Source organism: Homo sapiens, chromosome 20 (assembly GCF_000001405.40).
Source record: "Homo sapiens chromosome 20, GRCh38.p14 Primary Assembly".
Classification (NCBI taxonomy): Eukaryota; Metazoa; Chordata; class Mammalia; order Primates; family Hominidae; genus Homo; species Homo sapiens.
Window position 1 is genome coordinate 38,364,105 of NC_000020.11, and position 26,357 is coordinate 38,390,461.

General features: G+C 46.8%; 1 protein-coding gene across 1 annotated transcript in view, besides 1 other annotated feature; it reads left to right on the forward strand.

Moving 5' to 3' along the window:
- The window catches only part of LBP (lipopolysaccharide binding protein), a 30,532-nt gene extending 17,623 nt beyond the window's left edge, over nucleotides 1–12,909 (forward strand). The window contains exons 8-15 of the mRNA NM_004139.5: nucleotides 472–648; nucleotides 2,665–2,724; nucleotides 4,891–5,058; nucleotides 6,634–6,701; nucleotides 7,176–7,218; nucleotides 8,968–9,031; nucleotides 9,833–9,909; nucleotides 12,521–12,909. Of these exons, the coding sequence (NP_004130.2) occupies nucleotides 472–648; nucleotides 2,665–2,724; nucleotides 4,891–5,058; nucleotides 6,634–6,701; nucleotides 7,176–7,218; nucleotides 8,968–9,031; nucleotides 9,833–9,909; nucleotides 12,521–12,565 (702 nt within the window). The 3' untranslated portion in view covers nucleotides 12,566–12,909. The remainder of the gene's footprint in view (nucleotides 1–471; nucleotides 649–2,664; nucleotides 2,725–4,890; nucleotides 5,059–6,633; nucleotides 6,702–7,175; nucleotides 7,219–8,967; nucleotides 9,032–9,832; nucleotides 9,910–12,520) is intronic.
- Nucleotides 25,156–25,357: a silencer, noted in NCBI's record as "fragment chr20:37017902-37018103 (GRCh37/hg19 assembly coordinates)". NCBI's record gives its function as "represses an EF-1alpha promoter that drives an FKBP-Casp9 reporter gene in an ReSE screen in HepG2 liver carcinoma cells {active_cell/tissue: HepG2}" and the evidence as "EXISTENCE:reporter gene assay evidence [ECO:0000049][PMID:32094911]".

The window sequence follows — 26,357 nt, forward strand, 5'->3', positions numbered from 1 at the left end:
CCCTCAGGGTCAGCCATTCTTTGGGCCACCTGTCCCCCCAACTTCAGATCTGTCCTCATCCTCCCAGTGGTTCCCGCTTTGTCAAGGGCCGGGTGATATGGAGTGGTGGGGAGTGTTTCCAGAGCTAGGATTCTCCCACGGCTGTCTTACACCTCTCAGGTCTTAACGCTTCCCTCCTCCTTCTTCCCCTACTTTGCCTTGCCCATCATGCAGAAAAGGCCAATCAGAGCGGGTCTTAGGGAGTGTAGATGGGCCTAGGGCATATAGAGGGGCTGGCCAGGACTTCCTGTGGGTTAATGTAGCAAAGCTTCTGGTGAGCTTTTCATTAAAAGACATAACACTGCCTTTAATGGTGGAGTTTCAGGCAGTGTTCCAGCCAGCGTCCCTTCATCGGACTGTGTAGGGGAATACCTAGCCCCTGCCCCACGATAGGCTTTGAAAAGTCCAATTGGACCCTATTTCCCTCTCCAGGGTGAAATCTTTCATCGTAACCACCGTTCTCCAGTTACCCTCCTTGCTGCAGTCATGAGCCTTCCTGAGGAACACAACAAAATGGTCTACTTTGCCATCTCGGATTATGTCTTCAACACGGCCAGCCTGGTTTATCATGAGGAAGGATATCTGAACTTCTCCATCACAGATGACATGGTGAGGATGGTGGCAAACAGGTCTCTCAAATGAACACATAACCTACCGCTCCTTCCTTCTTTCCTTTTCACCCCTGTTGACATCAGTCAAATAGTGAGTTATAGCTAAGAGAAAAATCAACACCAAGAAAAATATGTTAGCACAATCTCCCTTTTTACTTTGGCAACCAAGAAACTCAAAGCCAAAGTTCTTTCTCCCATGGCTGGGTGTGGTGGCTCACGCCTGTAATCTCAGCACTTTGGGAGCCTGAGGCGGGCGGATCACTTGAGGTCAGGAGCTTGAGACCAGCCTGGCCAACATGGCAAAAACCTGTCTCCACTAAAAATACAAAAATTAGCCAGGTGTGGTGGTGTGCGCCTGTAATCCCAGCTACTTGGGAGGCTGAGGTGGGAGAATCGCTTGAACCCAGGAGGTGGAGGTTGCAGTGAGCCAAGATCATGCCACTGCACTCCAGTCTGAGCAACAGAGTGAGACCCTGTCTCAAAAAAAAAAAAAAAAAAAGCTCTTCCTCCCTTATAACAACTGTGGAAGACTTTGCAGCTTACTTATCTGTGTTTTGCTTTTCTAGACCTGTTTACTAGTCTAGACTTGTTAGTCTAATTCATATTTTCTCTCATCCTGATGATTTCTGGAGGTTTATTAAAAAATATTTTAGTGAATGAGGCCGGGCAAGGTGGCTCATGCCTGTAATCCTCGCACTTTGGGAAGCCAAGGTGGGCGGATCACCTGAGGTCACGAGTTCAAGACCAGCCTGGTCAACATGGCAAAACCTCATCTCTACTAAAAATACAAAAATTAGCTGGGCATGGTGGCACATGCCTGTAGTTCCAGCTACATGGGAGGCTGAGGCAGGAGAATTGCTTGAGCCCAGGAGGCAGAGGTTGCAGTGAGCTGTGATCTCACTACTTCACTGCAGCCTGGGCAACAGAGTGAGACTGCATCTCAAAAAAAAAAAAAAAAAAAAAATATATATATATATATATATATATATATTTATATGTGAATGAGGCAAGATAATACATGCACTGATAAATGCATATATTTTCAGAGAAAAGGAAATAAAGACCAAGTGAAAATAAAGCACAATTATAAAGACACTGAGCCCTTAAATTAATTTCTTTAACATCTCAAACCTGTCGGGGAGCTTCCTTGTAGCTAAAGTGAAAAAGATACATGATTTCATGATTCATGGTGAAAAGGAGAGACAGTCTTCCTCACACCCCCAAAACAACTGTTTCCAATGTGGCTTTGTATAAGGGAGACTGAATTTTACAGTGGATCTCACCTTTAATGGTTCTCCAGTTTATCTAATATTTCTGGGTTTCAAAAAGTTGTTTCTTGAAGCACTTCATAAAAGTTGAGGCCTCATGAATAATGTCAGGATGGTGGGAGAAACAGTGTGGTTCGGCTCAGACGGTCCAGCTTACCCTGGTATAAGTCAGGGGCCGTCTGGTAGATCGAGGGTCATTTTGTCCTTCTGATGGCCTCCTACACCTGCACAGGCCTTCGCTTCTGGCATCGTGTTTGGTTTACCCATCCTACTGCGGCACGGGCCTCTCTTTCAATGGGATGATAATAGCTACGTTTTATGGAGCACTCACCATGTGCTGGGCCTTGTGCTAGGATGTTCGTTTAGGCCTCACAGTGACTCGAAGGTGGGGACTATTGTTATCCCCATTTTATGGATAAGGAAGTTGAGGTTCAGGGAGATGGAAGGGCTGGCCTGAGATCACAAAGTCAGGACACAAACCGAAGTCTGTGTGACCGCAAACCTCACCCTCGCAGACCCTCTGAGTGGGAGCCACACATCAGCTGCCCCCCGGGGAGAGCGGGCAGGATGCTGAAGTCCCATGTGCTCTCCTTGGGTGAATGCAGGACAGGCATCTCCTCCCTGCCAGGGTAACCCAGGCTGTGGAGAAGCGACAGTCTTGCACATCCCCCTGTCTCCCCAATCTTCTTTAGACCTTCAGCTCCAGCGGGAGCACCCTAAAACTTCTTCATGTCTCTTTGCTGCAGATACCGCCTGACTCTAATATCCGACTGACCACCAAGTCCTTCCGACCCTTCGTCCCACGGGTAAGGAGTCCCTTAGTTCCCCATGAGTGCAGACCGAGCCTACTAGACTCCAGAGGTTTCTCTTTAAAACCTCTGCATCTCTCAGCTTGACCAAGAGTGAGAAGGCCGGGATGAGACTCCCACTGAAGGCTGGGGTGCTGCTCCTTTCAAAGCCTAAATAACAGAGGCCACGCCCCATATCTTGTGGGACCACAGCTTGTCCAATCTTTTATTGGTGTTATCTAAGAATCCCAAGGAATGCTGGCATAGTCCATAAAATGTACCCTAATGAACAGCAGCTAACAATTACAGGGGGCTTCCTAGGTGCCAGGCATGTTCTTGGTTCTTTAAAAAATTATTTTTTGGCCAGGCATGGTGGCTCATGCCTGTAATCCCAGCATTGTGGGTGGCCAAGGTGGGTGGATTGCTTGAGTCCAGGAGTTCAAGACCAGCCTGGGCAACATGACGAAACCCCATCTCTACAAAAAATACAAAAATTAGCCAAGCGTAGCGGCACATAGCTGTAGTCCCAGCCACTGGGGAGGCTGAGGTGGGAAGATCACCTGAGGCTGCGAGGTTGAGGCTGCAGTGAGCTGTGATTGCACCACTGCACTCCAGCCTGGGCAACAGAGTGAGACCCTGTCTCAAAAAAAATTATTAAAAATGTTAGTTTTTGAATGGGAAATAAATTCTCAAGGTTCAACATTCAAAAGATCTAGAAGGTTATAGAGTGGAAAGTCTCACATCCACTCCTATTCCCTAACCACCCAGTTCCCATCTCAAGTTTGCCAATATTACCAGATTTTACATATCTTTCTGATGATATTCTATGTATATACAGGTTCACTATCTCTTATCTGAAATGCTTGGAAAAGCAACTCTGCCTACCTTCTTAGTGAAGCATTTTACCCCCTCAGCCTTCCAAATGTCTCCCTTCTAGAAGAGGATGTAGGTTTTACATATACATAACCAAAAGGTTCATGGGAGTGCTGTTTTTCCACGAATAGCCTCCTAAAAAGGAAGAGTCTTGCCCCAAATTAAACTCTGTACCTATCTCTAGTACACAGAAAATTAAGAGCACTTTTGAAATGGTGGAATCTAGGGCTGGTCGTGGTGGCTCACACCTATAATCCTAGCACTCTGGGAGGCCAAAGTGGGGGGGTAGCTTGAGGCCAGGAGTTCAAGACCAACCTGGACAACATAGCAAAACCCTGTCTCTATTTTAGAAAGAAAAGTTAAAAAAGAAAGAAAGAAAGAAAGAAATGTTCTGTGGAATATCATATTAAAAGAGTAATACGAGAAAATTAAATATTTTTTTTAAAAAAGAAATGGTGGGATCCAGCTGTGTCATATTTCGAAAACACTGGCATCTGACCTCAGCATGCCCAATTAGCAGAATGTGATGAGGGGATGGAGAAACCTTGGGAGAGGTAGGGAGGGAGAAAAAATGGGCCCAACTTTTCTGGAGGACAATTTGGCAATACCTGCCGAAAGTTTTAAAAGCATTGCTGGCCAGGTGCGGTGGCTCACACCCGTAATCCCAGCACTTTGGGAGGCTGAGGCGGGCAGATCACCTGAGGTCAGGAGTTCAAGACCAGCCTGGCCAACATGGTGAAACCCCATCTCTACTAAAAATACAAAATTAGCCGGGTGTGGTGGTGCACACCTGTAATCCCAGCTACTTGGGAGGCTGCAGAAGGAGAATCGCTTGAACCCCAGAGGCAGAGGTTGCAGTGAGCTGAGATGGCACCATTGCACTCCAGCCTGGGTGACAAGAGCAAAACTCCATCTCAAAAAACAAAACAAAAAAAGAAAGCATTGCTGTCCTTCAACCCAGCAACTCCACCTCTAGGAATGTTTTCCTGAAAAGAATAGCCAAGGGTGCTCACAGGAGGTGGTCATTATAATGGCAAAACCCTGGAGACAACTTGATGCCCAATAGAGTTTAATCCATCGCAGGACCCATACATAACGAAATACAACACAGCCGTGAAATAGATGGTGCAGACTCTGTGTCTGACATGGAGAGATGGCCAGTTTTGCCACTAGGAGAAAAAGGCACAGAGAATTTTGTTGGAAATAAAATCAATCGAAAGCAACTTCCAGCTTTATCTGACTCCCTCAGGCCTCTCCTGGCAGACTTGTATATTTTCTTCTCTTGATGTAATCTCCTAATTCTGCTCCCAGTTAGCCAGGCTCTACCCCAACATGAACCTGGAACTCCAGGGATCAGTGCCCTCTGCTCCGCTCCTGAACTTCAGCCCTGGGAATCTGTCTGTGGACCCCTATATGGAGATAGATGCCTTTGTGCTCCTGCCCAGCTCCAGCAAGGAGCCTGTCTTCCGGCTCAGTGTGGTAAGGTTCAGAGCCTTTGCAAATGCTGTTTCCTTTTCCCCACATGCTTTTCCCTTTTCCCCACATGCTTTTCTCCCCACTCACCACCTGGGTAATTCCTCCAGGTCTCAACTTAAATATTACTTCCCGAGAGAGGGCTTTCTTGCTGGCCCTTACCCCCAATCTACCTTACGCCCCTTGCCACTTTTTCTTGTAACACCCCATTATCTTTCTTCTCAGCGTTTACTACAAAGATACTTTGTAGCTGTCTGCAGGTGTATTTGTTTAATGCATGTATCTCTCACTATGTGAGTCTGGGCTATTGTGGGGAGAAAGGTATACTGGTGTTTGTCTATTTGTCTATTTTGACCTTGGAAGACTACATTTCCCAAGCTTCTTTGCACTTTGATTTCCACCCAGGTCAACCAATGGGAGGTACTGTCAGGAGAATGATGGCGGGGAGGAAGGATGAAGCCAGAGTACTATTTCCTCTTTCTTTACCACGGCAGAGGCTCTGGCTGTGACTATGTCTCCTCATGGTGACTTCCATAATTCCACCTCCACTCTTTGTTCCTCTAGTCCTGGGGTGGATACAGCCTCCTGTCTCTGGATAATCTCTGGGTGGCCTCACCAACTCTTTACTAGCTTCTCAACAATTCCATCACTTGTATAACCAATTCCCCGTATTAAATTCCCTCTGCGTTAAACATTGAGAGTCAGTTTTCCTTTTTTGATGGACTCTGTCTAATAGGGAAGGGATGTTGGGTCCTTTGGGGGCCTTGCTCCCTGGATGGAGAACTCTGCTCTCTTGTTTCTTGACTTTTGAAATCAACAAGTCAAATCTCTACCAGGGTAATTCTTCCTAGAGGCTATATCTGCAATTTAATATTGTTGTTATTGTTATCAAAAGTGTCATTATTAATATATTTTAAATTAAAATATAATTTACTGTCTGGGTGTGGTGGCTCACATCTGTAATCTCAGCACTTTGGGAGGTCAAGGCAGGAGAATCACACAAGGCCAGGAGTTTGAGAGCAGCCTGGGCAACACAGCAAGACTCCATTGCTACAAAAAAGAAAAAACAAATAGCCAGGCCTGGTGGCATGCACCTGTAGTCCTATCTACTCAGGGGGTTGATGTGGGAGGATCGCTTGAGCCCAGGAGATTGAGGCTGCAGTGAGCCATGATTGCACCACTGCACTCCAGCTGGGCGACAGACAGAGACTCCATCTCTAAAACAATAATAATAATTTATTAATGTTGTTACTAGGGCTGAATCTTGACCTGAGATAACTAGAAATGATCCTTTTTAGAGCTTTCCAAGGGTAGGTACTCTATACCTTCTCTTAGTAGTCTGTTCAAAGTTTAACTGCTAACATAAACAACAATTTCAAGTAAAAATGTTCAAGTCCAAGTTCAAATATTGTTTGAGCACCTACAGTGAGCCTTCTGGGAGTCTATGATCTAGTGGGCAAATTTCCTGCTTTAGCTCATTGAGCTGTTTGTTGAGAGGAGACAGTTGGTCCCTCGTCATCATCCTTCCTATACATACAACCTTCATCACTTACACCTGCTTCCTTCTTCTGGCATTTCCAGGCCACTAATGTGTCCGCCACCTTGACCTTCAATACCAGCAAGATCACTGGGTTCCTGAAGCCAGGAAAGTAAGTTGGCCTCCTACCTACATGGGGGTGCCCAGCTGGACTCCATCTGTATGCTGTAGCTGCTTCTCTGTAGCTGGTGGGAGGGGGGGCCACCATTTGGAAAGGACACTTACATTTCACCCCAATTGGCCCAATTCTTCTGCCCCACTGGTCCTGCCCCCACAAATCTCAAATTGTTAAAGAATTCACTAAGACTGTTACTTCTTAATGTATGAATTTTAGAAGCCAGCTATATGAACTTCCTGAAATGATAAAGAGTGAGCTTTTTGACACTATCTCATCTGCCCTGTGACAGTCTTCCCGATGTCATTGTATCACTGCTTTTAGTTCCTCAGTCATCTTTTCCACTCCTGCTCCCGCCCTACCTTTGGCCCTGTGCCTTCTCAAGCCCATCCTTTCTCGCTTCTGGGGACCCCCGCATTGCTTAAACTTGCATAAAGCCCACACCTTTTAATCTTCTCTGATTCATTACAGGGTAAAAGTGGAACTGAAAGAATCCAAAGTTGGACTATTCAATGTAAGTTGTTTTTATTGATGACATGATTAGAATGTTAATTAATTTGGGGTGTTTCCTAAGCAATTGCTATGGCACCTATAATAGGAAATACAAAAGGAGAAGAGTTGATTTTTTGCCCTGCAGAAGTGTAAAAGGTCTCGAAAACACAAGACATAGGGCCAAGGAACAGTTATATCCTAGTATAAAACAATATATAATTAAGTCATCTACTGAACAGAATTCTCTTAACTGCAAGAGACAGAAAGCCAATTGAAATCATCTTAAGCAAAGAGGAGAAATATATAGGATTATATAATTGAAAAGCAAAAATAAACGAAAAAACTAAGACCAGAGGTTTCAGGCATAGCTGGATCCAGGTGTTCTAATTAGTGCATCAAGAATCTCTCTCCATCTCTCTGTTCTGTTTTCATTTGTGTTAGCTTCACTCTCAGGCAGGCTCTTCCAATTGGTAGCAAGCCCCAGAGTTTCCTACAGTTTCAGTTTTTTAAAAAATTTGCACACACACACACAAAATCTCTGTGCTAGCTCTCATTGGACTAATCTTAGGCACCCAGTCTTAAGCCAAGCACTGTGGCCAGAAGTCAGCCCAGCATGGATCTCATCTACACTCCAGGAGGCAGGATTTGCAGTCAGCTACATCCAAAGCACATGGACCAAGACTGGCAAGGAGGGTTGTTCCCTGGGGGAAAATAGACTCCGTTATCAAAACAAGAGGGATTGAGTGCTGAGCAGGTAAATCCAAGAAGTGATTTCCACAAGGTAGAAAAAGTGGTGAAGTAGACGGCCCCAAATAAAAGGAGGAAAGAGAACGTGAAAATCAGTGTGGGCCAAAGTTATGGAGAAGAGCTTTCTGGAAAGAGGGAAGGAGGAGCTGGGTAGACTTTAATGTGTAGTCGTTGGCTTCTCTTTTACCATTCCATGATGCTGGCCTCCACTGACCACCTCCACCTGTGCCCTGCCTCCCAGACTTTCCCGAAGCACTTATGAAGTGGAAACAAACACAGAGGCGGTGGGGAGAGATGCAGGGACCCTGAAGCTAACTCCTTTCAGAGAATAAAGGGTGGAGTGAATAATGGTGCACTCATATTGTATCTGTGCGTGTTTACTGCAAAGTAAAACATTCAAGTGAGAAGTTTCACAAAAATCCATCCTGTCGGGTTTTCAGAGCATGAAATGTAAAAACAAAAACTACAGACTCAGATACATTTAGATTCGAATCCTGATGCTGCTGCCCAGTTTGTAGTAAGTCCCTTTCATTCTGTAGGCCTCAGTTTCCCGATATATGGAATAGGGACATTAATATGAACTTTGAGGGGTTGTTGTGAAGATTGAATCAGACATGCACGTAAAGCTCTGAGCTCTCTGCTTGGCATATAGTGGGGGTTAGAAGTTGTGTTTCATGATTTTGGTAGAGAAGCTTATTTTGTTTTTATTAAATTTTTTAAATTATGTAGGTAGTTCAGGAAAAACATTCTCACTGTAAATAAAACCGATACTAAAGATAAGGCTAAGGACATGTCAAATGTTGATGTTCTTCCTTTAGAGGAAAGACTGTCGGGTGTGTAACTTTCCAAAATTTTTCTATTCACTTGCATACCAAATGTTCATCTCAAAAGAGTTTTATCTTATAAAATAGTAGCATGATGTAATACTAGTTTGCTTTTCCCAAGCGTTTTGCTATGTTGGCACACACAGAACCACCATGTGGCCCTGTGGCGATGTAAATATATCTCTCCTGTTCTCTTCCAGGCAGAGCTGTTGGAAGCGCTCCTCAACTATTACATCCTTAACACCTTCTACCCCAAGTTCAATGGTAAGAATCACTGTGGATTTTTCCAAGTCAAAAGTGAACACTGCTGTCTGGAGGAAAGAGAGTTGGACTTGGAAAACAGGGCTCTCCTGGGGGCTGTATGACCGTGGGCAAGTCACTTCTCTCTGAGCTTAGTGACCTGCCTGTGACATGGGATCGTTGAAGTTGGCCTCATCTCCCTCCAGGGCTCTAATGAGGGTTGGGGGCTGGGACAGCTCTTTGGAGCACGGGAAACCTCCTTATAAGCGGGACAGAGGGACACATGGAAGTGCCCCACATCCTGAAGAGGCAGGTCAAAGACTGAGGACCAAGTTAATATAGAAGGCACAAGGCAGCCGCCTCTGAACTCACATCTCCCAGTCAATTGCCCAACTGCCTAGTCAAAAAAGAAAGCAAAAAACTTAAATCCTGTTTCCATGAAGCTTTGCTTCTTTTGGCTGCAACAGAGAACAGGACGGGCAAAGGGCAGGGAGTGGAACGCCCTGTTCTTTATCTTATCATGAATGTGTGCTTCCTCCAGACAGCACCATGCCTGATAGCTTAGGCTCCCAAGTCAGCCTCCCTGGGTTTAAATCCCCTTTCTGACACTTCCTGTGTGACCTAGAACAAGTTACTTGGCCACTCTGTGCCTCAGTTTCCTTATCTGTAAAATGGAAAGAATAATCACACCTACCTCATAGTCTTGGAAATCACTAAATGGGAATATACTGAATATAGAGTTTGCAGAGAACATTTTCGGTAAAAATCTGTCTCTAATTATTATTTATTCACCAATCTCTTTCAATGTTGTGCTTCAACCTCTAGATAAGTTGGCCGAAGGCTTCCCCCTTCCTCTGCTGAAGCGTGTTCAGCTCTACGACCTTGGGCTGCAGATCCATAAGGTCGGTGGGTTCAGGGGGGCTCTGAGGATGTGTGAGGGAGGAGGTGGTTTGCATGCTAGCTTTGGGGCCATGATTCATGGGTGACACCCAGCCCAGCCCTGCAGCTGGGAAAGTCTGGCCAGGGGCAGGACGGGTGCTCCTGGGCCTTGCCATATGCCACAAAGCCATCCACATGTCCTTCAGAAGTGGCACCTCTGCTGGTGCAGGTGGCATTTGACACAGCCCTATGCCACCACCACATCCCATCCCTACCATGAGGGGCCTGAGGGAAGCTCAAGACCAGCTCGTTTTGAAAATACTGCGGGCCGGGTGCAGTGGCTCACGCCTGTAATCCCAGCACTTTGGGAGGCTGGGGCGGGCAGATCACGAGGTCAGGAGTTTGAGACCAGCCTGGCCAACATGGTGAAACCCCATCTCTATTAAAAATACAAAAATTAGCTGGACATGGTGGCAGGTGCCTGTAATCCCAGCTACTCAGGAGGCTGAGGCAGGAGAATTGCTTGAATCCAGGAGGTGAAGGTTGCAGTGAGCCGAGATCACGCCACTGCACTCCAGCCTGGGCAACAGAGCAACACTCCGTCAAAAAAAAAAAAAAGAAAGAAAAAAAAAAGAAAGAAAATACTGTAAGTCCTAGACGTAGCATTAGGTCAGGTTCTGAAAGTCATTTGTAAGTTTTAAGCTTTTCTTCTAAATTTTAAGGTTGAAGAGCTTTATTATAAATACCTGTTTGGCATGCCTCCCCATTTAAACAAGTACTACAACCATATATACTTTTTTTTTTTTTTTTTGAGACAGAGCCTGGCTCTGTCACCCAGGCTGGAGTGCAGTGGTGCGATCTTGGCTTACTGCAACCTCTGCCTCCCAGGTTCAAGAGATTCTTGAGCCTGAGCCTCTGGAGTGGCTGGAACTACAGGCTCCCGCCACCACTCCCAGCTAATTTTTTTTTTTTTTTTTTGTATTTTTGGTAGAGACAAGGTTTCACAATGCTGGCCAGGCTGGTCTCAAACTCCTGGCCTCAAGTGATATGCTCACCTCAGCCTCCCAAAGTGCTGGGATTACAGGCATGAGACACCATATACAGCCAACACTATATATGTTTACAAAAATTATTCATAAACCTATTGCTCCACTACAAGCACAGTTTGAATTTTGGTGTACTTCTAGTGCTTTTTGTTTTAAGGGTTTTTTTTTTTAAGTTTGTTTGTTTTGCACAGTTGCATTACTAGTGCTCATACCTGTTTTCTTTCTTTCCCTTTTTTTTTAAAACTTAAAACAAATTTTTTTTTAGGCCAGGAGCGGTGGTTCATGCCTGTAACCCCAGCACTTTGGGAGGCCAAGGCGGGCAGATCATGAGGTCAAAAGTTTGAGACCAGCCTGGCCAACATGGTGAAACCCCATCTCTACTAAAAATACAAAAATTAGCTGGGCATGGTGGTGCGCACCTGTAATCCCAGCTACTTAGGAGGCTGAGGCAGGAGAATGGCTTGAACACGGGAGGCAGAGGTTGCAGTGAGCTGAGATCATGCCACTGCACTCCAGCCTGGGCGACAGAGCAAGACTCCATCTCAAAAGAAAAAAAAAATTAACTTAAGGTTCTTTTTAAAGCTTAACTTAAAAACTATTTTAATATCAAGTGAAATAGTGAAAAACTATTTTCATTATTCAAACTATTATTCTGACCAAGCATTTTGTGGTCTATCTGTGCTTCCAATTTTCAGGTTATCTTTTGAGGTGAGATGAACTGGGTTGGCGGACTCATTAGCAGGAGGGGGATGCTGCGCTGTGCCTGGTACATTGTTAACAACAGAAAATAATAGCCATTAAAGGGAATGAAGGGCAGGGGGGATGATTAGGGACCTAGAAACACTGGCCAACTGTTCTATCTAAAAAACAAATGTCGAAAGCCCTTTTGGGCTCTGAGATACTCAGCACTTAACTGCTCTTGAGCATTTATAAGTAGTCAGACAGATCGTTGTTCAAAGCAAAGATTGAGTGACAGTTCATACCATCGGCCTCAGTTTTCTCCTCTGTAAAACGGGACATAACCGAAATGTCAGTGGGCTTTTGTGATGATTTAGAGGGCAAGTATGATAGCTTCTAGCTCAATGTTTGACATGTGGAAAGTAATTAGATTTATTATATATTATAATATTCATTAGAATTTTGAGGTCAACTCTGCCCATGTGTCTAACCGTCTAAAACAAAGGATGGATCACTGTGGGAAAGAACTGAACTTGGCCTTCGGTTCAGAATTCCTGCCCCTCTGGGTGATGGAAACGTAAGAAGAGCAGGAGAGTACACCCTAGCAGTTCACAATTTTTCATTATTTGCCAAAGAGAGAAAATTTAGGTGACGCAAAGGACACTTAGAGGCCTGCCGGGCAGCAGCAGCTCGGGGAATGACAGATCGATCTCTACCTTGGAGAAGGTAGCTGGGAAGAGCTGTGCTTTACGGAGAGCTTGGGGACTGAGGCACACTCGCAATTTATGCACTGACCTGGATTCTGGCAGAGCTTGTGTTTCGTGAGACGTGGGCTCCCTTTCAATCGCAGATGCATCTTTTTGGAGTAGAGGATGCTCTTTACCATCCTGTCCTGTCCTGTTTTTCCTAGGACTTCCTGTTCTTGGGTGCCAATGTCCAATACATGAGAGTTTGAGGACAAGAAAGATGAAGCTTGGAGGTCACAGCTGGATCTGCTTGTTGCATTTCCAGCTGTGCAGCACGTCTCAGAGATTCTTGAAGAATGAAGACATTTCTGCTCTCAGCTCCGGGGGTGAGGTGTGCCTGGCCTCTGCCTCCACCCTCCTCCTCTTCACCAGGTGCATGCATGCCCTCTCTGAGTCTGGACTTTGCTTCCCCTCCAGGAGGGACCACCCTCCCCGACTGGCCTGGGATATCTTTACAAGCAGGCACTGTATTTTTTTATTCGCCATCTGATCCCCATGCCTAGCAGAGTGCTGGCACTTAGTAGGTCCTCAATAAATATTTATTAAATGATGAGATGATGGAATCACCTGGTATTCTAGCTGAGCCTCATCACTGCCTGCCCTCTTCTGACCTCAGGGGTCTTTGGATAGTCAGCCACATCTATGGTCTCCAAGGCCCCTTTCTCATCGCCGCTGCTATGGGAGCCTCAATGAGAGAACCAGGGATTCTGTACATCATGTAGCCCTGGATCTGGCGCTGGTGCTCCGTCTCTAAGGCCCTTGTCCTGTCTCAGGCAGGGGCTCACTTCGACATCGCTCCCTCCCTCATTTCTTGCCTGCTACAGCCAAGGGAGCCAATGATCTCCCGGAGCAAAAACTCAGCCTCCCGCTGCTTTTCCCTCATTGAAGCAGGTGTAAATTAGGAGGAAATGGATCTGTCTAAGTTTTTGGTCCAACCCCAATAAAAAGCTCATCCAACTGTTGTTTATGAGCCCCAAGCCTGGAGGGAGAGGCCGTGATTTCTAATTACTGAACAATGAGCCTTTGATCAGACTAATAAAGAGTCATTTCCAAGTTATGTAGTTGGGCTCCCAGGGACTGGGAGTCAGAAGACTCGTTTGATAATTTTTTTTATTGTGTTAATGAGCAGATGGATGGAGCTTCAGGCTAGCAGATAATTCACAGGGAATAATCCCATTTACCCTGTGTGTGACAGAGATGTGTTCCAAGATGGGACGATGTGTTGTCGCCCAGCTGGTGGCAGGGTAAGCTGTGGCTTCAAGCCCTCTCTCCTCTCCATTTTTGTTCATTTGTTTGCCACCATCCATCCCTATGACCGACTGGCAAAGGACACAGGCTTCATCCAGTACTAGCCATGTGGCCTTGGGAAGGTCACTTTCCCCCTGGGGTCCTCATCTATGAAATGATGATGATGATTATAGTAGTCAATTCCTGGGACTGCTATAATGACTGCATTGGGTAATCTATGTGGAAGGATTTATTTAGCCAAATGGGGATTCCATATTTATTGGCTGGGTGTGCTTACTAAGCACCTCCTATTTGCCAGGCTTTGGGGTCCTCATGGGGAGAAATACATGGAGCATGGGCTCCATTCCTGATCCTGCTTTTAAGAGTGATACTTCCTCTCCCTCTCCCTCTCCCTCTCCCTCTCCCTCTCCCTCTCCCTCTCCCCACGGTCTCCCTCTCCCTCTCCCTCTCCCTCTCCCCACGGTCTCCCTCTCCCTCTCCCCTCTTTCCACGGTCTCCCTCTGATGCCGAGCCGAAGCTGGACTGTACTGCTGCCATCTCGGCTCACTGCAACCTCCCTGCCTGATTCTCCTGCCTCAGCCTGCCGAGTGCCTGCAATTGCAGGCGCGCGCCGCCACGCCTGCGTGGTTTTCGTATTTTTTTTGGTGGAGACGGGGTTTCGCTGTGTTGGCCGGGCTGGTCTCCAGCTCCTAACCGCGAGTGATCCGCCAGCCTCGGCCTCCCGAGGTGCCGGGATTGCAGACGGAGTCTGGTTCACTCAGCGCTCAATGGTGCCCAGGCTGGAGTGCAGTGGCGTGATCTCGGCTCGCTACAACCTACACCTCCCAGCCGCCTGCCTTGGCCCCCCAAAGTGCCGAGATTGCAGCCTCTGCCCGGCCGCCACCCCGTCTGGGAAGTGAGGAGCGTCTCTGCCTAGCCGCCCATCGTCTGGGATGTGAGGAGCCCCTCTGCCTGGCTGCCCAGTCTGGAAAATGAGGAGCGTCTCTGCCCGGCCACCATCCCATCTAGGAAGTGAGGAGCGTCTCTGCCCGGCCGCCCATCGTCTGAGATGTGGGGAGCGCCTCTGCCCCGCCGCCCCGTCTGGGATGTGAGGAGTGCCTCTACCCGGCCGCCCCGTCTGAGAAGTGAGGAGACCCTCCGCCTGGCAACCGCCCCGTCTGAGAAGTGAGGAGCCCCTCCACCCGGCAGCCACCCCGTCTGGGAAGTGAGGAGCGTCTCCGCCAGGCAGCCACCCCGTCCAGGAGGGAGGTGGGGGGGTCAGCCCCCCGCCCGGCCAGCCGCCCCGTCCGGGAGGGAGGTGGGGGGGTCAGCCCCCCGCCCGGCCAGCCGCCCCGTCCGGGAGGGAGGTGGGGGTCAGCCCCCTGCCCGGCCAGCCGCCCCGTCGGGGAGGTGAGGGGCGCCTTTGCCTGGCCGCCCCTACTGGGAAGTGAGGAGCCCCTCTGCCCGGCCAGCCACCCCGTCCGGGAGGGAGGTGGGGGTGTCAGCCCCCCCCCGGCCAGCCGCCCTGTCCGGGAGGTGAGGGGCGCCTCTGCCCGGCCGCCCCTACTGGGAAGTGAGGAGCCCCTCTGCCCGGCCAGCCGCCCCGTCCGGGAGGGAGGTGGGGGGGTCAGCCCCCAGCCCGGCCAGTCGCCCCGTCGGGGAGGTGAGGGGCGCCTCTGCCCGGCTGCCCCTACTGGGAAGTGAGGAGCCCCTCTGCCCAGCCGCCACCCCGTCTGGGAGGTGTGCCCAGCAGCTCATTGAGAACGGGCCATGATGACAATGGCGGTTTTGTGGAATAGAAAGGGGGGAAAGTTGGGGGAAAAGATTGAGAGGTTGGATGGTTGCCGTGTCTGTGTAGAAAGACGTAGACATGGGAGACTTCTCATTTTGTTCTGTACTAAGAAAAATTATTCTGCCTTGGGATCCTGTTGATCTGTGACCTTACCCCCAACCCTGTGCTCTCTGAAACATGTGCTGTGTCCACCCAGGGTTAAATGGATTAAGGGCGGTGCAAGATGTGCTTTGTTAAACAGATGCTTGAAGGCAGCATGCTCGTTAAAAGTCATCACCACTCCCTAATCTCAAGTACCCCGGGACACAAACACTGCGGAAGGCCGCAGGGTCCTCTGCCTAGGAAAACCAGAGACCTTTGTTCACTTGTTTATCTGCTGACCTTCCCTCCACTATTGTCCTATGACCCTGCCAAATCCCCCTCTGCGAGAAACACCCAAGAATGATCAATAAAAATAAATAAATAAATAAAAAGAGTGATAGGTGTGCTGAAAAGAGCCAGTATTGATTCCAGCCTACCTGTTTTGGGTCCCTGGGCAAGGTATCTCCAAGCCTCAGTGTCCTCTCCTGTCAAATGAGGCTGGGAAGAGCTCTTGGCGGGATTATTTTGGAAATTGATGGGTTCAGGTTAAGCTTCCGTGGGTGCCCAGAGAATAACCAGGTGGTGGTCAATGGATGACACAATTAGATCACCTGTCATACTTGGTGTCCCCAGAAGCAGACCCTGAAGAAAAGAGGTGAGTACAAGTATGACGGTGTTGCAAAAGTAATTGTGGTTTTTGCTGTTACTTTCTTTTTTTTTTTTTTTGAGGTAGAGTCTAGCTCTGTCGCTCAGGCTGGAGTGCAGTGGTGCAATCTCAGCTCACTGCAAGCTCCGCCTCCCGGGTTCACGCCATTCTCCTGACTCAGCCTCCTGAGTAGCTGGGACTACAGGTGCCTGCCACCACGCCCAGCTAATTTTTTGCATTTTTAGTAAAGGCAGGGTTTCACCATGTTAGCCAGGTTGGTCTTGATCTCCTGACCTCATGATCTGCCTGCCTCAGCCTCCCAAAGTGCTGGGATTACAGGCGTGAGCCACCGCGCCTGGCCTGACTCCCAGTCTTTTCTCCAGTTAATCTTTCCTGGGTTTTTGATGAGATTCCTAGGAAGGGGGTCTTAAGATAATTGCATTTCTTTTGGAAAGAAGTTTTCTTATTCAGAGAAGGAAATTCCAGACAGAGTCCCTTCTGGTGCTTCAGGAAAGAGGATCAGAGAGCTAAGGAGGTGAGGGAAGATCAGAGGGAGACCTTGAGTCTGCTTTTTTAGTTCAGCATATCAATGTGCCATATATTGGCGTATTGTTTTCCGAGCCCCAACAGTGTTATATCTCGATGGGGTAGTACAGGACAACACAGCTGGCCCTAGAGTCCCATAGCAGGTTCTGACGCCCTGAAATCTGACTGTAAACATATGAGTATCCTGGACAGCTCCAACCTGTAGAGAAGGACTGGCCTTGGGACAGGAGGTTCTGATCTCAATAACCGGAAGAACTGGACTGTCAAAGAACCTTCAAGAGACCACAGACTCATTGCTGTGTAGATCTCATTCTCACACAAAACCAAGATGCCACCTTGGAGCGCCTCCTCTTGACTACAACCTGTTCCTCCCTTCTGCCCTTCTCTGATTTCCCCTCTCCTCTCCTCAACCTGATCAAGACCTCTAGCCTCACCGGTGTCTTCCAGGCCGCTATTCTGATTTAATTTGTCTCCATAACTAAGCACAGTTCATCATCTCTAACAGAATCCTTTCATCTCCTGACAATCCTACTTTCCACATCCCCAGCCTGGGGCCTAGGCGTAGGTAAGAGAATTAAATTACTGGAGGAAAAGGCAGGCAGGCTATAGCCAGTTGAGGTCTCCTTCCATCACCAAAACCATAGTTCTGTCTGAATGGCCTGAGCAGCAGCAACAGCCTAGAAATTGGAATACATGATATTTCTAATGAGGCTCTCAGGTAAGGTCTCAGAACCCATTCAGTCTCAAGACATGCTTTTTGTTTTTGTTTTTGTTTCTTTGAGACAAGGTCTGGCTCTATCTCCCAGGCTGGAGTGCAGTGGCACAATCTCGGCAAACGACAACCTTCACCTCCCGGACTCAAGCCATCCTCCCACCTCAGCCTCCAGCATAGTGGGACTACAGGCATGCACCACCATGCCCAGCTATTTTTGTGTGTGTGGGTATTTGTTGTAGAGATGGGGTTCTGCCATGTTGCCCAGGCAGGCCCTGAACTTGTGAGCTCAGGTGATCCGCCGGCCTCAGCCTCCCAAAGTGCTGAGATTACAGGCAGGAGCCACCATGCCCAGCTGCATTTCTTCTTTCTTTTTATTTATTTTTTTTGAGATGGAGTTTCTCTCTTGTTGCCCAAGCTGGAGTGCAATGGCATGATCTCGGCTCACTGCAACCTCGGCCTCCCAGGTTGAAGTGATTCTCCAGCCTCAGCCGCCTGAGTAGCTGGAATTACAGGCGCCCGCCACCATGCCCAGATAATTTTTGTATTTTTAGTAGAGACTTGGTTTTATCATGTTGGCCAGGCTGGTCTCAAACTCCTGACCTCAGGTGATCTACCTGCCTTGGTCTCCCAAAGTGTTGGGATTACAGGTGTGAGCCACCATGCCTAGCCTGCATTTCTTTCTAAGAGCCCAAGATGTAGCTTAGAAGAAAAGACACTAGCATGCCAGGATAGTCCATATTGTGCTGTAAGTGAAGGCAGCATGGAGAAGTCTTGGCAATATAGGTAACAAGGTCAGGGGCAGCCACAGGTCTGAATAGGTGGAAAGATGAGAGCTGCTGGGTATAGTATCAAAGGGTTAGGCAAACAATAGAACCAATAAGTGTGCGTGTTTGGAAAGGACAGAAGAAGAAAACAAAATAAACAAAACCAAAACCAAGTACAGCATTGGGCCCCAGGGATTAGAAAGTCAAGCAGGAGCTAGCACGGCCAATGCACTTTGCTTCTTTCACTGGAAAAGTCCAAAATATATTTTCCTATTAGTACACAGAGATCTTCTGCATTTGATTTTTAAAATTTAACACAGCTACATAATATTCCACATTTGTGTATGTACAAAACAACTTCTTCATTCTTATTTAAAGATGCATAGGATCTCCTGGTGAAAGATACAATTTATTTAACCAGTTCCTACTTATGGGTCATCAGGTTGTTTTAAAACTTTTGCTTTTATAAATAATGTTTCAGTGAATACCTGTATTCATATGCCAATTCATACGTGTGGAGGTACATTGTAGAATAAATGCCCAGAAATCAAATCCTATAACTCTGACTCTTTGGTTAATTTAGCAGATTGTCATTTGCTCACTTTCTCTTCTTTCCAGACTTTCCCCTTCTCTTGAGGTGGTGCCTGGGTATACAGGGATGTTGAAGGGGTCCACATGGCATCATGAGAGTGGAGTGAAGCAGGACATAGTAAAGAATTTAACCTTGCTCAAAGAGAGACATGGCTTTTGTCCTTGGCCCCTGGAAGGTAATCTCTAAGCCCTTGGAATGCTTGCCTGGTAAGAGTGCCTTTGTTTACCTGGGGGCATTGGTCCATAACAGATAGTCTAACAAGGGGAGCCACGGCAGGGCTTTTGTTCACATCATATCAGCTTAATCTCTGAAGATGCTGAAGACTGAGCCCAGCCACATGGGCAGCCAACCAGATTGGCATGATCAAGGCCCCAAAAGACTCTGGAGCTTTTCAGATGATTTTCAGGAGAAATGACTGAGCCCAAAGAACAATAGCCTGGAAGGAAGTTCCTATGAGTGCTGTGGGAAGTGGTGGGAAGGTGAGGGGCGGAACTTCACAATGCACAAAGGTTGTCTTATTATGCAGATGAAGTCTCCCCGGTAATCTCTGAGCTGCACTCAGAGGATAGATGAAGAAGTCTGGGCGTGGCGATTACTCCAAGTCTTTTCTCTGGTTAATCTTTCCTAGCTATTTGATGAGATTCCTAGGAAGGGGACCTTAAAATAATTGCTTTTATTTTGGAAAGAAGGTTTGGCTGAGTGTCCCCAGTTGGCAATACTTCATGTGTATTGTCACACATCAATGCTAGAAAAGTGATGCTGTCCACGACCCCAGGGAGAGAGGGCAGCTGGAAGCTCTGCGTTAGAACTTTCTTGGACTCTGCCCTATGTTGCTCTTCCCTTGGCTGATTTTAATTGGTATCTTTTTGCTGTAATAAAATATAACCATGAGTATAACAACTTTAAGTGAGTTCTGTGAATCTTTCTGGCACATTTTCACACTTAAGGGTTGTCTGGGCCACTCCTGAACTTGCAATTGGTGTCAGAAGTAAGAGTGGTCTTGTGAGCAATGCTGCCTCTAACTTCACACAAGGAGTCTTCTCCTCCTCAGCTCCTTCACTCACTGGACATCCTGCTGGCCACAGATGCTGCCTGAGCATGAGGCCAGTGACACAGAGACCTGTTCCCTGTGGCCTGGTCAAGGCCTAAAGTCCCTCACCTCCTGCCCCCAGCTGCTGCATCTTCAGATCTGCTACAAACCCTGTATTGATCAGGCTTCCTACCTGCAAACTTTAGCATCCACTCTGGGTAGTATAGGCAGAAAGGGGTTTGTTAAAGGACATTAGATTGTTCTCAAATGGTTGGGAGGAGAAACAGAGTTGAGGCTGAGCTTCCAAACTGGTCACAGGGGTTAATCAGATGCAGACCACACCAGGACATATAAGCTCACTTTCTCATTAGCCCCACTGATTTTTTAAGGTATTCTATCATACACCAGGATCAACATATACTTATAAAATTCCTTTGTCTTTACTATTTAAGATTGCAACACTTATTTAGTGTTCAATTATCTGCTTGTGAAATACTTCTTAGCCCAGTGCTTCTCAAACTTCAATGTGCCTATGAATCCCCTGAGCATCTTATTAAAATGCAGATTCTGATGCAGCAGGTCTGGGGAGGAGCTGAGAATCTAACCATCTTCCAGGTATTTCCAATGCTGCTGGTCCTTGAGTAACAAGATCAAGTAAACTTTGTGGGAGTAAGAAATTTCTCACTGCTATATAACCCCCTAGAACAGCACCTGGCACATAGTAGGTGCACAGTTAGACATTTGTCACATGAATGGATTTGGCCCATAGATCCAACATGGTCCAGCTTCGCCCTCCATCCAGCACTGTGTGAATTGTTGGTCTACAGAACGTTCAGTGGTCTGGAGCCCAGGAGAGAAAACTGGAAATTTCTCAAAAGCCAAGTAGTGACAGAAAATGATTCAGTCGCTGATATGGTTTGGCTGTGTACCCACCCAAATCTCATTTTGAATTGTAGTTCCCATAATCCCCAAGTATTGGGGGAGAGACCCAGTGGGAAGTAATTGAATCATGGGGTGGCTACCCCCACGCTGTTCTTGCAATAGTGAGTGAGTTCTCATGAGATTTGATGGTTTTTTGTTTGTCTGTTTGTTTTTTTTAGATGGAGTCTTGCTTTGTCACCCAGCCTGGAGTCCAGTGGCACAATCTTGGCTCACTGCAACCTCCGCCTCCCAGGCTCAAGTGATTCTCCTGCCTTGGCCTCCCGAGTAGCTGGGATTACAGGCACCTGCCACCATGCCCAGCTAACTGTTTGTATTTTTAGTAGAGACAGGGTTTCACCATGTTGGTCAGGCTGGTCTTGAACTCCTGACCTCAAGTGATCCACCCGGCTCAGCCTCCCAAAGTGCTGGGATGACAGGCGTGAGCCACTGCACCCAGCTGAGATCTGATGGTTGTATAAGGGGCTTTTCCCCTTCTGCTCAGCACTTCTCCTTACTGCTGCCCTGTGAAAAAGGTAACTTTCTCCTCCTCCTTCTGCTATGATTCTAAGTTTCCTGAGGTCTTCCCAGCCATGCAGAACTGTGAGTCAATTAAACCTATTTCCATTATAAATTACCCAGTCTTCGGTGTGTCTGCATAGCAGTGTGAAAACAGACGAATACAGTCACCTTGTTGAGGTCAAGTGGCCAATTTTTGCAACATTGCTAGATCAGGGTCTCAGTGAAAAACCCCCTTTTAGGAAGAAGGCACAAATTTCCCATATAGAAAAATTCTAAGTAATGTATGTAAACACTGCCCTGCAAGAAGTTGGGAGCACAGCTCTCTGCCCCTTAAGTATGGGCTACACTTAGTAACTTGCTTCCAAAGAATAGAGTATGGAAGAGTGGTGGGGAGTAAATTTATCGAGAAACCTGACAAATACTACATTAGCCAGGTGATCAAGGTAAAGATACTCAGTGATAAGTCATGTTGATAGTAGGCATCTTAGTTCAGGCTACTCTAACAAATTACCATAGACTGAGGGACTTAAACCACAAACCTTTGTTCTCAAGTTTTAGAGGCTGGAAGTCTGGGATCGGGATGCCAGCATGGCCAGCGAGGGCCCTCCACTGTGTGGCAGGCTGCTGACTTCCCACTGTCTCTTCACGTGGTGGGGAGCAAAGAGAGGGAAGCAAGCTCTCTCATATCTTGTCTTCTGATGGCACTGTTTAATCCAGGTTAGCGTAAAGCTGCCTTATTTTGAAGTTCAGCCTAAAGATTCCTCTGTACATCGTGAACTATAACCTAAATGGAGTTGTAAACAGACCATACCCTACTCTTGTGCCAATCACCGAGTTTTGGCCAATCAAAAGTGGCCAACTGTTTAAACCGTTCAAATAAGGCAAACATAGAGCTGTAACCAATCTAGCTGTTTCTGTACCTCACTTCCGTTTTCTGTACCTCACTTCCGTTTTCTGTACATCACCTAACTTTTTCTGTCCATAAATCTTTTACCACCACGTGCTATGCTGGACTTTCTTGAGCCTGCTCTGGTTCAGGAAGCTGCCAATTCGTGAATTGTTCTTGTTCCAGTAAACTCTTTTAAATTTAATTTAGCTTAAGTTTTTCTTTAGGCTGGATGCGGTGGCTAACGCCTGTAATCCTAGCACTTTGGAAGGCCAAGGCGGGCAGATCACTTGAGGTCAGGAGTTGGAGACCAGCCTGGCCAACATGGCAAATCCTGGTCTCTACTAAAATACAAAAGTTAGTCGGGCGTGGTGGCGTGCATCTGTAATCCCAGCTACTCAGGAGGCTAAGGCAGGAGAATCGCTTGAACCCAGGAGGCAGAAGTTGCAGTGAGAATGAGAAGAGATCGTGCCATTGCACTCCAGCTTGGGCGACAGAGTGAGACTCCATCTCAAAAAAATAATAAATTAAAAATAAATAAATAAAATAAAATAAAGTTTTTATTTTAACAGTGCTAATTCTATTCATGAGGGCTCCATTTTCATGACCTAATTACCTCCCAGAGGCCCTACCTCCAGATATTATCCTATTGAGGATTTAGATATCAACATATGAATTTGAGCAGGAAACAAATATTCAGTCCATAACAGTAGGTGTCTCTGACATGGTGAGATGAGAATGGCACTCAATGGTCTTCCTCCCCAAAACCCGTGGTGAAAAACATCAGACAAACCCAAATTCAATGGCATTCTACAGAAACTGTTGGTCAGTTCTCCTCAAAACTGTCGAGGTCATCAAAAACAAGGGCAGTGTGAGAAACTGGCACAGCCCAGGGGAGCCTCAGGAGACTTGAGGACTACATTCAGTGTGGCATCCTGGGTGGGACCCTGGAAAATGAAAAGGACATTAGGGAAAAAAATAATAAAATTTGGATAAAGTTATATGGTTAATAAGAATATGTCAATCATTAGTTATAATAAATGTAATATTAATATAAGAAGCCAACAGTAGAGGAACTGGGGACAGGATATATGAGAATTCTCTTTATGACCTTTACAAATTTAAAATTATTTAAAAAAAAATTTTATAAAGAAATTGAAAATTATTTTTTATTTATTTACTGAGACAAGGTCTTGCTCTGTCACCCAGGCTGGAGTACAATAGTGTGATCACAGTTCACTGCAGCTTCCACTGCCCAGGCTCAAGCAATCCTCCCACCTCAGCCTCCCGAGTAGCTAGGACCACAGGTGCTTGCCACATGCCCAGCTAGTTTTTGAGTTCTTTGTAGAGACTGGGTTTCACCATGTTGCTCAGGCTGGTCTCAAACCCCTGGGCTCAAGCAATCCACATGCCTTAGCTTCCCAAAGTGCTAGGAGCCACTGCACCTGGTCCGCTTTAGTATTTTAAATCTAAAACTATTAAATCCTTTACTGTAAATCTAAAACTATTCCAAAATAAAAAGCTCATTTAAATCTTTTTTTAGGCTGGGCATGGTGGCTCACGCCTGTAATCCCAGCACCTTGGGAGGCCAAGGTGGGTGGATCACCTGAGGTCAGGAGTTAGATACCAGCCTGGCCAACATGGTGAAACATTGTCTCTACTAAAAAAATACAAAAATTAGCCAGGTGTCGTGGTGGGTGCCTGTAATCCCAGCTTTGTGGGAGGCTGAGGCAGGAGAATTGCTTGAACCCAGGAGGCAGAGGTTGCAGTGAGCCAAGGTCACACCACTGCACTCCAGCCTGGGTGACAGAGAGAGATTCCGTCTCAAAAAAAAAAAAAAAAGTTTCTTTTAAACTTAGAAAAAGTTTTTCATCCATTGGCAGAATGTAGACGATCAGAAGTCACCAATTATCTGCAGAGGAAATCTTGGGCCAGAAAGAAAGGTCATCAGCTCAGTCCTCCCCAGTAGATGGCAATAGCAGTTAATTTGTTGGTGGCTACTTTGAACTTGGGAGCCAACAGAATCTACATAATAGGGTTTCAAACACCTTTCAGAACCGATCTTGTATCGCAGATGCAGGAAGAGAGTTTAGGTTTTCCTCTTTAGTGTGTCTTCTTTAGGAATGAAATCTTCATTGACACATTAGTGGGTGACTGGTATTTAATGAGAGGCATCAGAATGCTGTGATTGAAGAATTTAAATTCCCCATCAGGGCCAGGAGCAGTGGCTCACACCTATAATCCCAGCACTTTGGAGGCCGAGGCAGAAGGATTGCTTGAGCCCAGGAGTTCAACACCAGTCTGAGCAACACAGCAAAACCCTGACTCTTAAAAAAAAAAAAAAAAAAAGGCCCCATCAGGGAAACACATCCCCAGCTCAGACTCCTCACACAATAAAAATAACACCAGGGCTGGTCCCCACACTCCTCCAGCAATGCTCCCAAAGGCTGCTGCCTGTCTTCTAATGGACTTCGCTCTGCTCCTGAACGCAGGGCTCTGTGAAGGTCCCTCAGGCTCAGTCCTGGGCCCTCTTCTCTTTTTCTGCCCTCTGGCTGTTTTTAAAAAGATGTTCTCACATTCCTAGGGGATGTCCGCCTCCAAAACTTTGAAGACTATCCCCAATTATCCTGTTTCCAGTCCAGCCTTCTCTTCTGAGATGCTGGCCTGTCCCCTAACTGCAGGCTTGATGTCCCCTTCAGACTAACTGGATTTAGGGAGCTGCACCCAGTTGGTGTGCCAGGGGAAAGGTAGAGGCATCCTGGGGATTTCTCCTGGAGTCTGGTGCGTAAATTCCCCCACAGCGCATCCAGCTGGGCCTGCATCTCCCAGCCCGCAGAGGAACGCTGGTAGTAAAACACAGCAGAACAGATGGCTGCTTTATGGGCCAGAAGAAAACGATTTCCCACTTGAGGCCACTAAAGAATCCAGGGCTCAATTCTCTACTTTCCCTTAGAGAAGGCTTTCCTCCCATCTCAAGTGATCTCATGGGGCCATTAGTACAGACGGAGCGGAGAAATCCCAGGGCCAGGTGGGCTGTTTTTAAAATAATGTTCTCACCATCCCACCTTGGAACGGAGGGTTCGGCCCAGAGCTATCACCTGCATCCTCCAGATCCCATCAAGCCCGGCTTTCAGTCCCACCCTTCCACCCCACAGCTAGCTTTCTAGGACCTGCAGTTCAATCAAAAGTAGCTCTCACCCCGGAGGTGGAGGTTGCAGTGCACCGAGATCACACCATTGCATTCCAGCCTGAGCGACAGAGCAAGACTCCATCTCAAAAAAAAAAAAAGTAGTTCTCTAAGAACTGCCCCTGCGCACTGCCACATTAAGAGTCAATATCAAATGGCTGAAATGAAAAACACAGATAAAATCAAAGTGTTGGCAAGAACATGGAATAAATGGAAAGCGTGTGCCCCGTTGGTGGGAGTGTATCCTCATTAGTTTGGGCTGCTATAACAAATTACCATAGACTAGGTGGCTTAAACAACCAACATTTATTTCTGATAGATCTAGAGGCTGGGAAGCTCAAGATCAAGGTGCTGGCAGATCGGGTGTCTGGTAAAGAACATCTTCCTGATTTGCAGATGACCATCTTCTCATGGTATCTTTACATGTCAGAGAGCAGAGAGAAAGGAAGCAAGTTCTCTTGTATCTCTTCTTATAAGGGTACTAATCCCATCACGAGGGCCCCATCCTCATGACCTCATTACCTTCCAAAGGACACATCTCCAAATACCATCACATAGGGAGTTAGGGTTTCCACATATGAATTTTGGCTACAGTCTCAGCTACTCTGGAGGCCAAGGCAGGAGGATCATTTGAGCCCAAGTGTTCAAGTCCAACCTTGGCAACATAGTGAGATCTTATCTCTTAAAAAAAAAAACCACTGCATAATATTCCACTGGATGACTATTTCCCAGTTTGTTCAACTATCCCCCATTGATAGACATCCAGTTCTTCACCACTATAAACATATGAATTGAAACATAAACACTTAGTCCACAGAATATTTGTAATTTGCATAGTAGAGTGCAAAGTGGTACAACCATTGGAGGACTGTTTGGCAGGATGTATCCGCTAAAGTTGAACATGCATGATGAGCCCCATGACCCAGGAACTCCACTTTTCAGTATGTACTCAACAGAAATGCCTACATCTATTTAAAAAAAGATGCATACAGGTATGTCCATAAAGCAGTTTTCGTAATAGCCCCCAGGTGGAAATAACCCAAACATTCAGCAACAGTAGATGGATAAATGGTGGCACATTCACACAATGGAATA